The 15,564-nt window shown below is 44.4% G+C and overlaps 1 protein-coding gene and 1 pseudogene across 5 annotated transcripts, besides 4 other annotated features; one reads left to right on the plus strand and one right to left on the minus strand.

Moving 5' to 3' along the window:
* Positions 1,065 to 1,359: an enhancer, noted in NCBI's record as "tiled region #5904; HepG2 Activating DNase unmatched - State 1:Tss, and K562 Activating DNase unmatched - State 1:Tss". NCBI's record gives its function as "activates a minimal TATA promoter and a strong SV40 promoter by Sharpr-MPRA in HepG2 and K562 cells {active_cell/tissue: HepG2 | K562}" and the evidence as "EXISTENCE:reporter gene assay evidence [ECO:0000049][PMID:27701403]".
* Positions 1,065 to 1,427: a biological region, named in NCBI's record as "Sharpr-MPRA regulatory region 5904".
* Positions 1,168 to 1,427: an enhancer, noted in NCBI's record as "active region_2358". NCBI's record gives its function as "activates an Ori minimal core promoter by ATAC-STARR-seq in GM12878 lymphoblastoid cells {active_cell/tissue: GM12878}" and the evidence as "EXISTENCE:reporter gene assay evidence [ECO:0000049][PMID:35858748]".
* Positions 1,283 to 10,836, plus strand: SNRPE (small nuclear ribonucleoprotein polypeptide E). Of its 5 annotated transcripts, none has more exons than NM_001304464.2 (5): positions 1,283 to 1,427; positions 1,866 to 1,906; positions 3,347 to 3,409; positions 4,725 to 4,803; positions 9,561 to 10,836. In NM_001304464.2, the coding sequence occupies exons 1-5, from the start codon at positions 1,412 to 1,414 to the stop codon at positions 9,614 to 9,616; spliced, it is 255 nt and encodes an 84-aa protein (NP_001291393.1). In that variant the 5' UTR covers positions 1,283 to 1,411; the 3' UTR covers positions 9,617 to 10,836. The 5 variants fall into 5 exon arrangements, 4 of the variants coding, with proteins under 4 accessions (NP_001291393.1, NP_003085.1, NP_001315566.1 ...); NM_003094.4 differs by having other exon boundaries at positions 1,283 to 1,397; positions 1,880 to 1,906; NM_001328637.2 differs by lacking the exon at positions 1,283 to 1,427 and adding an exon at positions 1,531 to 1,639.
* Positions 1,813 to 2,388: an enhancer, noted in NCBI's record as "NANOG-H3K27ac-H3K4me1 hESC enhancer chr1:203831257-203831832 (GRCh37/hg19 assembly coordinates)". NCBI's record gives its function as "activates a minimal SCP1, AML or CMV promoter by ChIP-STARR-seq in primed H9 embryonic stem cells {active_cell/tissue: H9 hESC(primed)}" and the evidence as "EXISTENCE:reporter gene assay evidence [ECO:0000049][PMID:30033119]".
* On the minus strand, positions 12,820 to 13,947 carry KRT8P29 (keratin 8 pseudogene 29; annotated as a pseudogene).

Genomic DNA, 15,564 nt, shown 5'->3' on the forward strand with positions numbered 1-15,564 from the left:
GAAAAGCTAATTTTGATTCTGCCATTTGCCCTAATCCGTGTTCCCTTAGGCAAGTCCTTTCAAAAGTCTAAACTTCAGTTTCCTCCTCTATAACATGTGTATGCCAATTAAGTGAAATCTCTGCCAGGCCACAAGCCATGACACAATGGAAAGGTAGGTGGACTTTGGGGTCAGGCACACCTACAAATTCCAGCTGCTCCACTTAGTAGCTGTGTTATCCAGGGAAGGACATGTTCTGACACTGGCTGACGCCTAACTGTGTGCACACATAGACAATTATTTCATTGAATCTTTAAGCCCCTGAGTAAAGTTAATCTTTACTATAATCTCCGTTTTGGAAACTAAGCCAAGACATGGCGAGGCTGAGTAATTTATCCTTGGTCACCAACTCTAAAAGAGCTGGATTTGCGCCCAGCATGTGGATTTCAGCGTCTTCCTGGTAAATCGCCACCCTCAGTTGCCACCTGAACAGTAACTCTCCACGAAATGGATGAGAATTGAATCCGTAACTGGAGGGAACCAGGCGTCTGGCTTTGGAATGCAGACCGCCTCTGGCCGACTGCCAGAGGTGGGAGGCCTGAAGTTTGGGCTCCTTGCCGCCCTACCCTTTCCACCACAACGCTGCTATCAAGCCTAAACTCCAGCAAAATAGGCTTTAGGAAAGGCACGAAATTAACTCATTTTACACATAGAGATACACACTGGGACGATTTTGGCTTTTCAAGCTAACTCAGAAAATGGAGATACAGGCCGGGCGCGGTGGCTTACGCCTGTAATCCCAGCACTTTGGGAGGCCGAGGCGGGCGGATCATGAGGTCAGGAGATCGAGACCATCCTGGCCAACATGGTGAAACCCCGTCTCTACTAAAAACACAAAAAATTAGTCGGACGTGGTGGCAGGCGCCTGTAGTCCCAGCTACTCGGGAGGCTGAGGCAGGAGAATCGCTTGAACCCTGGAGGCTGAGGTTGCAGTGAGCTGAAATCGCGCCACTGCACTCCAGCCTGGGCGACAGAGCGAGACTTCGCCTCAAAAAAAAAAAAAGAAAAGAAATTGGAGACAGGACGGCACTCCTCCTACCACGGCCACTATACAACCGAAGGCACCTCCTCCCGCCTCCCTCCAGGTGGCGCTGTAGGACCGGCCCACCTTCCACAGCGCAGACGCCTCAGTTTGGCCTCCCTCGGAGGCCATGCAGCGAAGAAACGTGACTTCATGGCTAGAGGGGCATTTCCCAGGAGCCGCCCATGCCGCCGCGTGACCTTCACACTTCCGCTTCCGGTTCTTTATTCCGGAAGTTGCTCTCAGAGGCAGCGTGCGGGTGTGCTCTTTGTGAAATTCCACCATGGCGTACCGTGGCCAGGGTCAGAAAGTGCAGAAGGTTATGGTGCAGCCCATCGTATCCTACGCAGGATGTCAGGACTAGGAGGTTCGGGTCAGAATACGGGGTGCGAAGGCGCAGGCTGAGGGCAGGCCTGGGATAGTGGAGTACGGATCCACATCCCATGAGCCCCCGGGGCTACCAAGACTGGAAGAAAGCGCGGGTAGTTGAACCGTGATGGTGGGGAGGTGGTCTTGGGGGGACCCCTGCCGTGGGGAATGCAGGAATGGACGCGGCAAAAGGAGGGAAGAGAACTTCAGGTGCGGAGTGAAAACGGGAGTTAACGGTTTTGGGAAACTCCAGGGGGATGAAAGTGGAATGGATGTTCTTTAGTCTTTAGAAGACCCGTAACGAATGCCCAGCTGGGCACTTGTTGTTTGCGTAAGCACCAGACCTCGCGTTTAGTAAACAAAGGTGAGACGGGAATAGCGTCGTCCGGTTGTTTCAGGAAGCAGAGTCTATGCTGCTTTTGTATTTTTTCCTTAGCCACTGTGGTGCAGAACCTCATCTTCAGATACTTACAAAATGTACGTAAGTTGCTTGTTTCGTAACTACTTTTTAAATAAGAGGTGAACTGATTTAGTTTTTTGTGTTAACCTGAGCGATCGCTGTGTTCTAGAATTTAAAAATAGATGTAACTGGAGATTGGAGGGTAATTGAGGGGAAGGAGTACTTAGAAAGCACTAATGTGATGAAGTGGTGTGTATCCATGCCACTTCCCAACATGCAAAGAATTGTATCCATTACTTTGCAAGATCAAAAATACTTTTTAATTCCAAAAAGTATTATTAGCAGACTTGACCATGGTATTTGGGCATCAGTAGTTTTGTTAGTAGTGATTATGGCTAGAACATTGGAACCTCTCCCCTTTAGGATGAAACATTGGAAGAAAAACCCAGCCAACTTAAACCATGTCAAGAGGTGGTGTGTTTAATACCTGTGGGAAAACTTAAAGACGAAAAAAGGAAGAGAGAAGGGGTAGCTTCAGAGGAGTTTAGTGGCAGCTGCTTTCCTTTGAGGGAAATTTTAGCAACTTAAATTTTATAGTGTGATAACACAACTGAAAAACATTAATTTCAGGTGATAATAATTCTTAACCACCTGAATTGAGGGCTCCTGTCCTAGTTGTTAGGTGTGTGACATGAGAAGGCTTTGTTTTGGAACTGGATTTTGCTGCAGGAGATAAGCCCTTGGTCATTAGAAATTACTGCTTTGTGCTATGCTGTCAAAAACTTTCACTCTTAATAGATTGAGACCAGAAGCAGTAAGAAATATTGAGTCCCAAAATCACAGGAAAATTATTAGCTTATACAGTTCCAATATAGAACTTATTAAATGAAAATTCTTTTTGAGGTTATTATTATTGGTGAATAATTCTTAGATATGGGCTAATTAGTTAAAACTTTTGACTTACATTCATTACAATTTTTTTAGGAGCCATATTTCTCTTGTCGTTTGACCAAAATGGTTAGGTTTTGTATACTTCAATTTTTTGGGGGGCGGGGGGCGGGGAGATCTTGCTTAATGTTGCGCAGGCTTATATTGAACACCTGGCCACAAAGCGAATTATTCCGCTTTGGCATCCCAAAGTATGGGAACGGTGTGAATCGAGGCACCTGGCCTGTTTTTCTTTTCTTTTTTTTGAGACGGAGTCTCACTGTGCCCAGGCTGGAGTGCAGTGGCGCGATCTCAGCTCACTGCAACCTCTGCCTCCCGGGTTCAAGCGATTCTCCTGCTTCAGCGTCCCGAGTAGCTGGGACTACAGGCGTGCGCCACCACGCCCAGCTAATTTTTTTTGTATTTTTAGTAGAGATGGGGTTTCACCATGTTAACGAGGATGGTCTCTATCTCTTGACCTTGTGATCCACCTCCCTCGGCCTCCGAAAGTGCTGGGATTACAGGCGTGAGCCACCGCGCCCGGCCCTATTTTTCTTTTTTTAACGTTTCCACTTTTATGATTATTTCAGAGATCGCGGATTCAGGTGTGGCTCTATGAGCAAGTGAATATGCGGATAGAAGGCTGTATCATTGTGAGTATCCAGGCGATTTCATCTCATAGCAGTTCGGTCGTAGAAAAAGACTTAACAGAAAGTGTCTAGCCAGAACAGTGTATAAAAAGTCAAAGATCCAACCTAAGGAAAGTTTTTCAGGTGCTGCTGTTTAGCCTTTTTTCATTGTTGATAGATAAGGATTGGGTAGTTTTTAATAGGGAAAATAACTTTTAATTCATTTTCTTTCCTCTGTCTATGTTGAGAAGAAAATTTGTATTTGATTTTTGAGAAAGGGCTTTGTTCTGTTGCTTAGGCTGGAGTGCAGTGGCACAATCATGGCTCGTTGCAGCCTCAACCTCCCGGGCTCAAGTAGTCCTCCTGCCTCAGCCTCCCAAGTAGCTAGGATCAGAAGCGTGCACCATCACAGCCTGCTAAATTTTTATTTTTTATAGAGATGAGGTCTCACTGTGTTGCCCAGGCTGGTCTCAAACTCCTAGGCTCAAGTGATTCTCCCACCTCAGCCTCTCAAAGTCTTGGGATTACAGGCATGAGCCACAACGCCTGGCTGAAAATTAACTTTTAAAAATTATTCGAAAAAAAAATATTGAGCGACAATGTTAGTATGGAGAGGGGGGACAAAATAAATGAAATTAGGGAGGGTGGGGTTATTTGTTGTGGGTTAGGTGATACCTGAATAGAGAGCTCAGTGGGGTTAGTTAAATAAGGCTTCTGGGATAGCAGGCTACCCTAAATTTTTTTTTTTAAGTTGGGGTCCGGCTCTGTCACCCAGGTGCTCTCAGCTCACTGCAATCTTGAACTCCTTGGCTCAAGTGATTTTTCCACCTCAGCCTCTAGTAGCTGGGAACTATAGGCATACACCACCAGGTCCAGCTAATTTTTAAATATTTTGCTGGGCAAGGTGGCTCACGCCTGTAATCCTAGCACTTAGGGAGGCCGAGCATGATGAATCACTTTAGCTCCAGAGTTCGAGACCAGCCTGGGCAACATGATGAAACCCTGTTTCTACCAAAAATACAAAAAGTAGCCAGGCATGGTGGTGCGCCCTGTAGTTCCAGCTACTTGGGGGGAGCTGAGGCAGAAGAATTGCTTGAACCCAGGAGGTCCAGCTGCAGTAAGCCGAGGTTGCACCACTGCACTCTAGCCTGGAAGACAAAGTGAGATCCTTTCTCAAAAAAAAAAAAAAAAAAAAAAAAACTTTGGGTGGAAGGTGGGGTGGGGCTTGAGAAGAGTGAATCTTTGAAGTTAGTTGGAGTTTTTATCTGCATAGGTATACTCATTTAAAATGGTTTGAATGTGATTTTCTTTGAAGATAACAGTTTGTTTATTTTTCTAGGGTTTTGATGAGTATATGAACCTTGTATTAGATGATGCAGAAGAGATTCATTCTAAAACAAAGTCAAGAAAACAACTGGGTAAGGATAGAAGTGGTCTTACAGAATTCTAGAAATATTTTATTCACTTGCAGAATTCAGTGACCTGCAACTCAGTTCATGTTTGAATTTATTTTGCATTTGAGAAGTTATTATTCAGAGTAGTAGTACACTTTTGAAATCATCCTCTACTACTCACTCCTCACCACACTCCATTTTGGCTTCTCCACCCAGAGAGCTCTCACCAAGGGAACCAAAGACTAGTGGTATTAAATCTAATGATCAGTACTAATCCTCATTTTATTAAACTCTCAACAGCATTTGGCACTGTTGGCTGCTCCCTCCTTAAAGCGCTTTGTTCCCGTGTCTGAGTGGCAGGAAAAACCCAAGTAGATTTTTCTGTTTCCTCAGTTGACAATAATTAACACAGAAGACTTCTGTGACCAGATGTATGGGCATATTTCCCCACACACCAAGCAAGCAATCAGTTCGGCAGTGGACATCAGCTCAGAGTCGTCAAGTTCAGTTCAGTTCTAACACTATCTACCTGAGATAGCGTCAGTTCCCAGAGGTTGAGGGCTCAATCCCCAAGATTGCCTTCCATGCCCCTCAGTCCTCCACCAGATGCTAATTGTCAGCTCCAGATTGTTTTACCTGTGCTTCTTACTGACTGGCTATAAACTGGGTCCCATGACCCCTCCGTTGGTTTGATTAATTTGCTAGAGCAGCTCACAGAACTCGGGGAAACACTTGTATTTACTGGTCTGTTATAAAGGATATTACAAAAAGTACAGATGAAGAGATGCGTAGGGCAAGGCATATAGGAAGGGATGCGAAGCTTTTGTGCCCTCTGCAAGCTCACCACTCTGGGAACCTCCACATGTTGAGCTATCAGAACCCCATTGTTTTCAGTTTTTATGTAAGCTTCATTATGTAGGCATGACTGATTAAATTGGCCGTTGGTGATCAGCTTAACCTTCAGCTCCTTTCCTCCTCCCCGGGTGGGAGGGTGGGGCTGAAAGTCCGACATCACTAATGCCTTGGTCCTTTCAGTGAGCAGCTCCCATGCTGAAACGTTGTAGGGGCTGCTGGCCATCAGTCAATCATTAGCATACAAAAAGGCAACATCTTAGAGATTCTAAGGATTTTAGGAGTTGTATGGGATTGAAGACCAAGTAAATATTTTGCAGTATCACACCTTGGCTCTACGATATTATACTTGGGTTTTTATTTTTCACTTCTGGCTATTTTTCAGACTTATATATTCATTCTTGGGACCCAATCACTAAATGAGTTGCTCCAGGCTTGGTTCTAGGCCCTCCTGTCATTCAGTATTGTCTGCCTAGGCACTGGAGTACAGCTTCAGTTACCATCTATAAATACTGACTCCCAAATTTGTTTGTCTGGGCCTATTCACCATTTCTACTTGAATGTTTCAAAGGCTTCTTAAAGTCAGCATATCAGAAAGCAAACTCAATTCCAACTCACACTGTTTAGAGCTATTGTATTATTATTTCCTGCCTTATTGAATGGCACCAGTTTCCAGTTCAGCTTACTAATTGATTTCTCTGCAGCTACCTCCAGTTTGCTTTCCAGGCCTCACTCATCTTTTAAAAACACCAGTCTGAACATATGTCATCCCTTTGCTTGAAATACTGCAATGACTTCCTGTTGCTGTTAGGATAAAAAAAAATCTAATGATTCTGCAAATCTAATGATCTTCATGATCTAGTCTTATCTCCCTCTGCTCATCTCGTATCACTGCCTCACTTTCTGAGCTTTAGCAACACTTGTCTTATTTCAGTTCTTTGAATCTGCAGATTTGCCCAACCATTAATCTTTGTATATGATATTCCTTGTGTCTGTAGAGCTCAGATCAAATATCACTTCTTTTAAGACAGCGGTCCCCTAGGCCAGGTGCAGTGGCTCACACCTGTAATCCCAGCACTTTGGGAGGCCGAGGCGGGTGGATTACGAGGTCAGGAATTCAAGACCATCCTGGCTAACATGGTGAAACCCTGTCTTTCCTGAAAAAAAAAAAAAAAAAAAAAAATTAGCTGGGCATGGTGGCGGGTGCCTGTAGTTCCAGCTACTCGGGAGGCTGAGGCAGGAGAATGGCGCGAACCTGGGAGGCGGAGCTTGCAGTGAGCTGAGATCACGCCACTGCGCTCCAGCCTGGGCGACACAGCGAGACTCTGTCTCAAAAAAAAAAAAAAAAACAGTGGTCCCCAACCATTTTGGCACCAGGGACCGGTTTTGTGGAAGACAATTTTTCTGTGGACTGGGGTGTGGGGGATGGCTTTCGGATGATTCAGGCACATTACATTTATAGTGCACTTTATTATTATTACATTGTAATATATAATGAAATAATTATACAACTCACCATCATGTAGAATCAGTGGGAGCCCTGAGCCTGTTTTCCCACAACTAGACAGTCCCATCTGGGGGTGATGGGAGACAGTGACAGATCATCAGGCATTAGGTTCTCATAAGGAGTGCGCAACCTAGATCCCTCTTTGCCCGGTTCACAATAGGTTTTGCGCTCCTATGAGAATCTAAGGCTTCCACTGATATGACAGGAGGCAGAGCCCAGGCGGGAATACTAGTGATGGGGAGTGGCTGTAAATACAGATGAAGCTCCGCCACCTCGCCCACTGCTCACCTCTTGCTGTGTGACCCAGTTTCTAACAGGGACCAGGACTGGTACTGGTCTGTGGCCCAGGGGTTAGGAAGCCCTGCTCTAAAAAGTTCAAAGTTTAATTTGGTTTTGCTGGGGATGGGGGAAGGCGGGATTATGTGCTCCCTGAGTTTGTAGTAAAACCTTTATTATTGAAATTATTTTATTAGTGTCTCTCCTGTTATCAGATGCTTCACCGTAAGTGTATGAGTCATGCCTTTTTTGATCCCAGTGTGCTCAGTACCTAACTCAATGCCTGGCACATAATAGAAACTAAAAAATATTTGAACAATGAATGGTATTTCTTTCTTTTGTTTTTGGAGACAGAGTCTCTGTCGCTCAGGCTGGAGTGTAATGACGTGATTTTGGCTCACTGCAACCTCTGCCTCCCAGGTTCAAGCAATTCTCCTGCCTTAGACTCCCAAGTAGCTGGGACTACAGGCGTGTACCACCACGCCTGGCTGATTTTTTGTGTTTTAGTAGAGACGGGGTTTCACTGTGTTGCCCAGGCTGGTCTCTAACTTCTGAGCTCAGGCAATCCACCTGCCTCGGCCTCCCAAATGCTGGGATTACATGTGTGAGCCACTAAGCCTGGCAATGAATGGTATTTCTTAACCCAGTTAATGAATGGTCTTAGGATTCACGGTTTCATCAAGACACACTGAATCATTTCTGTTAACATCCCATTCACTTGAGGTTTATTTAGGCATTTTGTCTTTATTTGTTAAATGCTCACTAATACTTTTATCAGTGGTGGGTTTCAGGTGTCTCTCTTTCAGACCCTCAGGATTCTCTTCAACCTGAACTAGATATATGGAAAGTAGATTCTGAGAAGCAGTATGGTGTTTCGCTGGCTGCTTCCTGCTTAGACTATTTTTATGAAAGCCTGGGTTTTTTAGATTTATTGTTATTTATTTATTTATTTTTTTGGAGACGGAGTCTCACTCTGTCTCCCAGGCTTGAGTGCCATGGCACAATCTCAGCTCACTGCAACCTCCACCTCCTGGGTTCAAGCGATTCTCCTGCCTCAGCCTCCCAAGTAACTGGGATTACAGGGCATGCCACCACACCTGGCTAATTTTTTGTATTTTAGTAGAAGACGGGGTGTCACCGTGTTGTCCAGGCTGGTCTCGAATCCTAAGCTCAGGCATTCCACCCACCTTGGCCTCCCAAAGTGCTGGGATTATAGGTGTGAGCCACCATACCCAGCCGGGTTTTTTAGATTTAAAGATGTCTTGCCAGGACGGGCAAGCTTAGCCTTACTGAGGTCATATTATTCATAAATTATTTACCAACTGTTGAATTCCCATGGTAGTATTTATCCTGTAGAATAGAATGTTATTAATACCTGCAGAAGCCTGGGAAAGTAGAACAGTTTAATTACTGTTGGAGTTGATCAACGTGTCTCAAACCGTTCTACCAGTGAACACCAGTGTTCCTGAAGATGTTTATAAATTTCTCAGAAAAGTATTGTCTTAAATAACCTTAGGAAATTTTGGGTAAAACAGGTTTGTTTATTGTAGGATGGAGTCTTTTTTTTTTTTTTTTTTTTTTTTTTTTTTTTTTGGAGATGAATTTTGCTCTTGTTGCCCAGGCTGGAGTGCAATGGTGCCATCTTGGCTCACTGCAACCTCCGCCTCCCGGATTCAAGCAATTCTCCTGCCTCAGCCTCCCAAGTAGCTGGGATTACAGGCACGCGCCACCAGGCTCTGCTAATTTTGTATTTTTAGTAGAGATAGGGTGGAGTCTTTAATATACTAACAGCTTTAAGAATGGAGTTATAATATGCTGTATTTCCCAAACTTGACATACGACTCATTTCCAAACTTTTATTACAAATTCAGCATTGGGAAATGTTGTATGAGGCCTATTGAGTTGACTTAGTCCATAGAAATGATATTTGTCATGAAATGTCATCTACCTATGTTAGTCTCTTGAAAAGATAAATGTATTCTAATGGAGCCAGAAAGCCTTTCACTATATGGACACTTGAAAATGTTCACATATTTTTATAAGAAAGCATTTTCAAAATATTGTTCAAAAACTGGATACAAAATTCTGAGAGTAAAACATCTGAGTGTGTGGCTATTAATAGCTTTTTGTTGTTTTTGTGTTGCAGGTCGGATCATGCTAAAAGGAGATAATATTACTCTGCTACAAAGTGTCTCCAACTAGAAATGATCAATGAAGTGAGAAATTGTTGAGAAGGATACAGTTTGTTTTTAGATGTCCTTTGTCCAATGTGAACATTTATTCATATTGTTTTGATTACCCTCGTGTTACTACAAGATGGCAATAAATACTATGGGATTGTTTGTATTAAAAAATTTACATTGCTTCTTACTATTCAGCAGTAGAAACTTTTTACACAGTAACACCATTCGTTGCTGGTATTTAGTTTTCTGAAGGGTCGCAGTTGCCTTGAGCACTTGGTATTCGCAGAGCTTGGACCTGTAGATTTTGAGGCAGATTAGGAATTCTGCCTGATGGGTAAGCTTCCAGTATTGGGAGGTGGAGAAGGGGAGGGTTCAGAAAAATAAATAAGAGTTATTGCACTAACAAAAGTCTTCATCACTTGTAGTTCTGGATGCTGGAATACCAGAGTTTCTAACCTAAATATGTTGGGTACATTATTTAATGGGGTCAGTATTGCTCAACACTCTCATTGAGTCACTGTGAGGTCTTTGTGAATTTTATCGCTAAGATCAGAATGTGAGAAGTATTTGGATATAGGGAAAGAATGAAGTGCCTTTCAAGTACATTAAAAATCAGTTAAGAGTTTACAGGAAAGAGACTGAGATTGGTAATCTGAAAAGGACCACAAGCATAGCTGGTAGGCAAATTGTTAGGCAGAATAATGGTATGTTGGAGAAATACACCTGTCTCTTATTCTTATCTCTTAAGAATTTTGGTTCTTCCCCCAGTGATTGCTGGTTGAATTCTTATATGGACAGGTTTCCCTTCCCCCAGTATCGCACATGGTTCTAGTTAGAATCCTGTTAGATAGTGAGCATCTGCTGTTAGCTAGACACTGTTGAATCAATACAGTGAAACAGACAGGTAAGCAGGTGGTTTTAATGCCTCATTCTAAGTGCTATTTAAATTGGATCTTGAAAGATGAATAAGGCCTGCCTTAAGTTCTGCTAAAGGCCATGTTGTTATTAAGGACGGGTGAGGAAGGACCAAGAAGTCTGGCTCCTGCTTTTCTACATGCCTGTGAAGGAGACTTTTCATGAAACTGAATAAAAGAAATCCTTTCCGAGATAGAGGAGATTTGTAGGTGAATGCAGAAGTGTATCCAGCTTTGAACCATGCATTCCATCTATATTCCTCCTGTCTGAACTCATGCTCTTTTGATTATGTTTTGAAATAAAGGGCTGCATTAGTTCTTTTAACATTTGAGTTTGAAATTAATTAAACTGATCACAACATGCAAAGAAAACATTGGGCAGCAGAGGGAGTTACAGCCCTGAGACTGCTTCAGCCCTGCTGGTGAGAAGATTGAATTGAAGCTTTTTCAGAGCAGAGCAAAGACCTCCCTGCAGCTTTCTTGGCACCAGAATAGCTGGGAAGAAGGATAAAAGCCCAGAGGAGTATAATCTCTAAGAAAACCTGCTGGCTGCCTTTTCCATTTCCCTGTGTGGCCTTTCTGACCTGGCTGCCCTGTGGAAGCAGAGCTGTGCCTGCTGTGGCTTATTCTGAATGGATCAAGACATGGAAGGTTCTATTTTTGACAGAGCAAATGATGATAGTGAGAATTAAGGTACAGTGAACTCTTACAATTGAGCTCTGTATTTAGAAATCTCTGCTTGCTTTCCTGCTCTACTGGAGCCTGTGGTGTTTGCTTTTTAAGTTGTACTTTTCCACCATCTCTAGATTGTTTCTTCCAACCAGAATTTACGAGAGGCGTTGCTCTCTGCCTCGTTAAGGTTACTAAAACATCCTGCTGGGAAGCTGCTCTTGTTGGCAGCCCTGGGTTATGTCAGCTTTTCTGGAATGGCTGTTGGTTGCTGAGGGGGTCTTGATAGACACCCCTAACCCTCATAGCATTCTTGAAGCAGGGGGTGGGAGGAATAGAGAATCAGGCTCTGAAAGAAAAGTGGTGATGTGGGCCTGCTGTTCAATTAGTAGCAGGTAGGCAGAAGGAAAAGTTTGAAAATCATAGGATATTGTGCTTTGGGGTGCCAGCTCTTGCCATATCACACTTGTCAACAGTTTCAGGATTAGAGAGTGTACCTCTAATTTGGATTAAGGCATTATGGGCTGGGAAGTGTCATGGTGGGGTAAGCCTAATAGCATCTCAGGTTAACTGGATAACACAGGCATTTTCCTTAACTAAACTATCTACTCATTCATGCTTTTGTGAGGAATTGCTTGTTAGAACTTTATTGTTGAGACAGAGTCTTGCTCTGTTGCCCAGGCTGGAGTGCAATGGCACAATCACAGTTCACTGTGACCTTGACCTCCTGGGCTCAAGTGATTCTCCCACTTAAGCGCCCCGAGTAGCTGGGACCACAGGCACACACCACCAAGCCTGGCAGTTTTTTTGTTTTTTGTTTTTTTTAATGGCAGAGGTAGTTGAGGCTTTATTTTGGAAAAAACAAAAAACAAATTGTTTTATAGCTGGAGTCATGGGCCAGGGGGGTACCCCAGGCAATAAACTCCCTCCATGAGTGGGCTGAGAGCTAGGACTGAGCCTCTCTTAGGTGAGGCTATGTTCACTTCTGTTCCCTATGCTCCCCTGCACAGTGGCCTCTTCCACAGGCTCTGGGGCATCCACAGGAAGGGATGGGCTGGGAGGGGCTGCCATGGCCATTTACTTGGGCAGGACATCAGAGGACTTGGACACCAGCTTCCCATCTCGCGTCTCTATTTTCTTTACAACTACGGCACCTGGAGGAACCCTGGAGAAGCTGGTGCGGCTGAAGGAGCTAGAGCCCCTGCCAGAGCCAAAGCTGGAGCCTAGCCATAGATGAGGCCAGGGCTTGTGAGGCCCCATAGGCCAAGCTCAGTGCACCTGAGCAGCCATTGGTGGTCTTTATATATATACTTATGTTCGGCATCCCAGACTCCAGCCTGTTCTTGTTGCCCTCCAGCAGCTTCATGTAGGTGGCAACCTCTGTGTCCAGGGCCAGCTTGACATTCCTCAGCTCCTAGTATGCCTGCTTGGGGGTGGTGTCTTTTAAAAAAAAAAATTATTTTTAAATTTTTATTTATTTTTTTGAGACTGGGTTATAAGACTAGCTAATTTTTGTATTTTTGTTAGAGGACTTTGCTGTGTTGCCCAGGCTGGTCTCGAACTCCTGGCCTCAAACAATCCATCTGCCTCGGCCTCCCAAGGTACTGGGATTAACAGAGGTGAGCCACTGCAGCCAGCCGCATTGCTGTCCTTAATGGCGGCTCCCACGCTGCTTGGCATTCGTGATGGCAGCCTCCAGGGAAGTCTTCTGGCCTTTGAGGCTCTCAGTCTCAGCCTGGAGCCAGCTGATGTTCTGGTTCATTTCAGAGATTTTTGTCTTTGTGCGACACATCATCTTCATGCTTCCCAGCCAGTGTCTGCAGTTCCTCGTACTTGATCTGGTGTGTGTTCTCAGCCTGGCCCAGCTGTGGTTGGCAATCTCGTACTGGTCCTTGACCTCAGTGGTGATGCTGTCTGTGTCCGTGGAGTGGCTGTTGTCCATGGACAGGACCACAGATGTGTCCAAGATCTAGGACTGCAGCTCCTGGATCTCCTCTTCATACAGCTGCCTGATGAAATTGATCTCGTCAATCAGCCCTTCCATGCAAGACTCCAGCTCTACATTCTTCATGTAAGCTTTGTCCGTAAACTTCTTGATGAAGACAAATGCATTGTCCATCTCTGTACACTTATTGATCTCATCCTCATGCTTATTCTTGAAGTCCTCCAGCAGCCCCTCCATGTTGCCAAGCTCTGCCTCCAGCTTCAGCTGCTCCTGGCCCAGAATGTACAGCTGCTGCTGAAGGTTGTTGATGTAGCTCTCGAGCATGTTGTCCATGTTGCTCTGTGCCGTCTTCTGCTGCTACTGGAGGCTACACTTGCTCTGCAGCATCTTGTTCTGCTGCTCCAGGAGCTGTATCGTGTCAGTGATGGAGGCAAACTTATTGTTAAGAGTCTTGATCTGCTCTTTCTCCTGGGTACACATGGCCTGGATGTTCGGTTACACCTCCAGCTTAAGGGGGCTCAGCAGGCTCTGGTTCATCATGATGGCTGTGATGCTGCCCATTACCACTGGCCCTGCTATAGCCTCCACTCAGACCCAGGCCACCCCAGAAGCACTGCTGCTACCCACTTGGGAGAGCCTTGAGGAGCTAATGCAGCATTGGGCCTATTCATTTAGAAGCAGCTGCTGAAGACCCAGGGACCAGAGGTGGATACCTTGTAGGACTTCTGGGTCACCCTGATGAACATGGTAGAGGCAAGAGTGGAGGCAGATGGTCCAAACCAGGCAGAGATTTGAGAGGGAGTAGAGAAGCTACATCTAGGTATAATTTTTAATTTTTTTTTTTGTAAAGATGGGATCGCACCTTGTTGCCCAGGCTAGTCTCAAACTCCTGAGGTCAAGCAATCCTCCTGCTTTGGCCTCCCAAAGTGCTGGGATTACAGGTGTGAGCCACTGCGCTCAGCAAAACTTTATTTTTAAGGTAGCTTGAGAACTTAAGTCTATTAGTACCTGGAGATGAACTTAAAAGTTATATCCAATGGAATTATTAAAAATTTAAAAGTATTAGCTTAGTACATTTTTATGATCAAAATCCAAACAGTATATAGAAATAGAAAAAAAATTGCTCCTTTTCCTACTAGTATTCTCCTTAGATGAGCACTGTTAAGAGTTAGATACTTATCCTTCTAAACTTCATACTAATAGGTATAGGTTGTTTTGTTTATCATTTTGGTATTTTATTCCTTTTTTAAAAAATTAGTTTTACGTTGAGTGCAGTGGCTTACACCTGTAATTCCAGCACTTTGGGAGGCTGAGGCAGGAGGATCACATGAGTTTAGGAGTTCGAGACCAGCCTAGGCAACATGGTGAGACCCCATTTCTTTTTTTCTTTTTTTTTATTTTTGAGACGGAGTTTCGCTCTCTTTGCCCAGGCTGGAGTGCAATGGCATGATCTCGGCTCACCACAACCTCCACCTCCAGGGTTCAAGCAATTCTCCTGCCTCAGCCTCCCAAGTAGCTGGGATTACAGGCATGCACCACCATGCCTGGCTAAATTTTTTTGTAATTTTAGTAGAGATGGGGTTTCTCCATGTTGGTCAGGCTGGTCTCGAACTCCCAACCTCAGGTGGTCCACTGCCTCGGCCTCCTAAAAAGTGCTGGGATTACAGGTGTGAGCCACTGCGCCTGGCCTGTGAAACCCCATTTCTATAAAAAATAAATTTTAAAAAAGCCAGTTAGGGCTGTGGTCCCAGCTACTTCAGAGGTTGAGGCAGGAGGATTACTTGTGCCTAGGAGGTTGATAGAGGCTACAGTGAGCTACGTTTATGCCACTGCATTCCAGCCTGGGTGACAGTGAGACCCTGACTCAAAAGAATAAAAAATTGTTTTGAATTGTGGTAAAGTACACATATATTTACCATCTTAACCGTTTTTAAGTGTACAGTTCAGTAGTGTTAAGTATATTCACATTGTGCAACCAATCGCCAGAACTTTTCATCTTGCAGGACTGAAACTCTGTACCTATTAACTCTACATTTTCCCTAATCCCCTGGCAATCACCATTCTTCCTTTCTCTGATTTTTTCTGTTCTAAGTACTTAATATAATAGGATCACGCAGTATTTGTCTCTTTGTGACTGGCTTATTTTATTTAGCATAATGTCCTCAAGCTTCATTCATGTTATAGAAAACGTCAGAATTTTTTTTTCCGTTTTTTTGGGGGACCATGGGATGAAGACAGAGTCTCGCTCCGTCACCCAGGCTGGAGCGCAGTGATGCGATCTCGGTTCACTGCAACTTCCACCTCCCAGGTTCAAGTGATTCTCATGCCTCAGCCTCCTGTGTAGCTTGGACTACAGGTGTGTGCCACCATGCCTGGCTAATTTTTTCATACATTTAGTAGAGGCAAGGTTTCACTGTGTTAGCCAGGCTGGTCTTGGAA

The sequence above is a fragment of the Homo sapiens genome, chromosome 1 (assembly GCF_000001405.40).
Source record: "Homo sapiens chromosome 1, GRCh38.p14 Primary Assembly".
Taxonomy (NCBI): domain Eukaryota; kingdom Metazoa; phylum Chordata; class Mammalia; order Primates; family Hominidae; genus Homo; species Homo sapiens.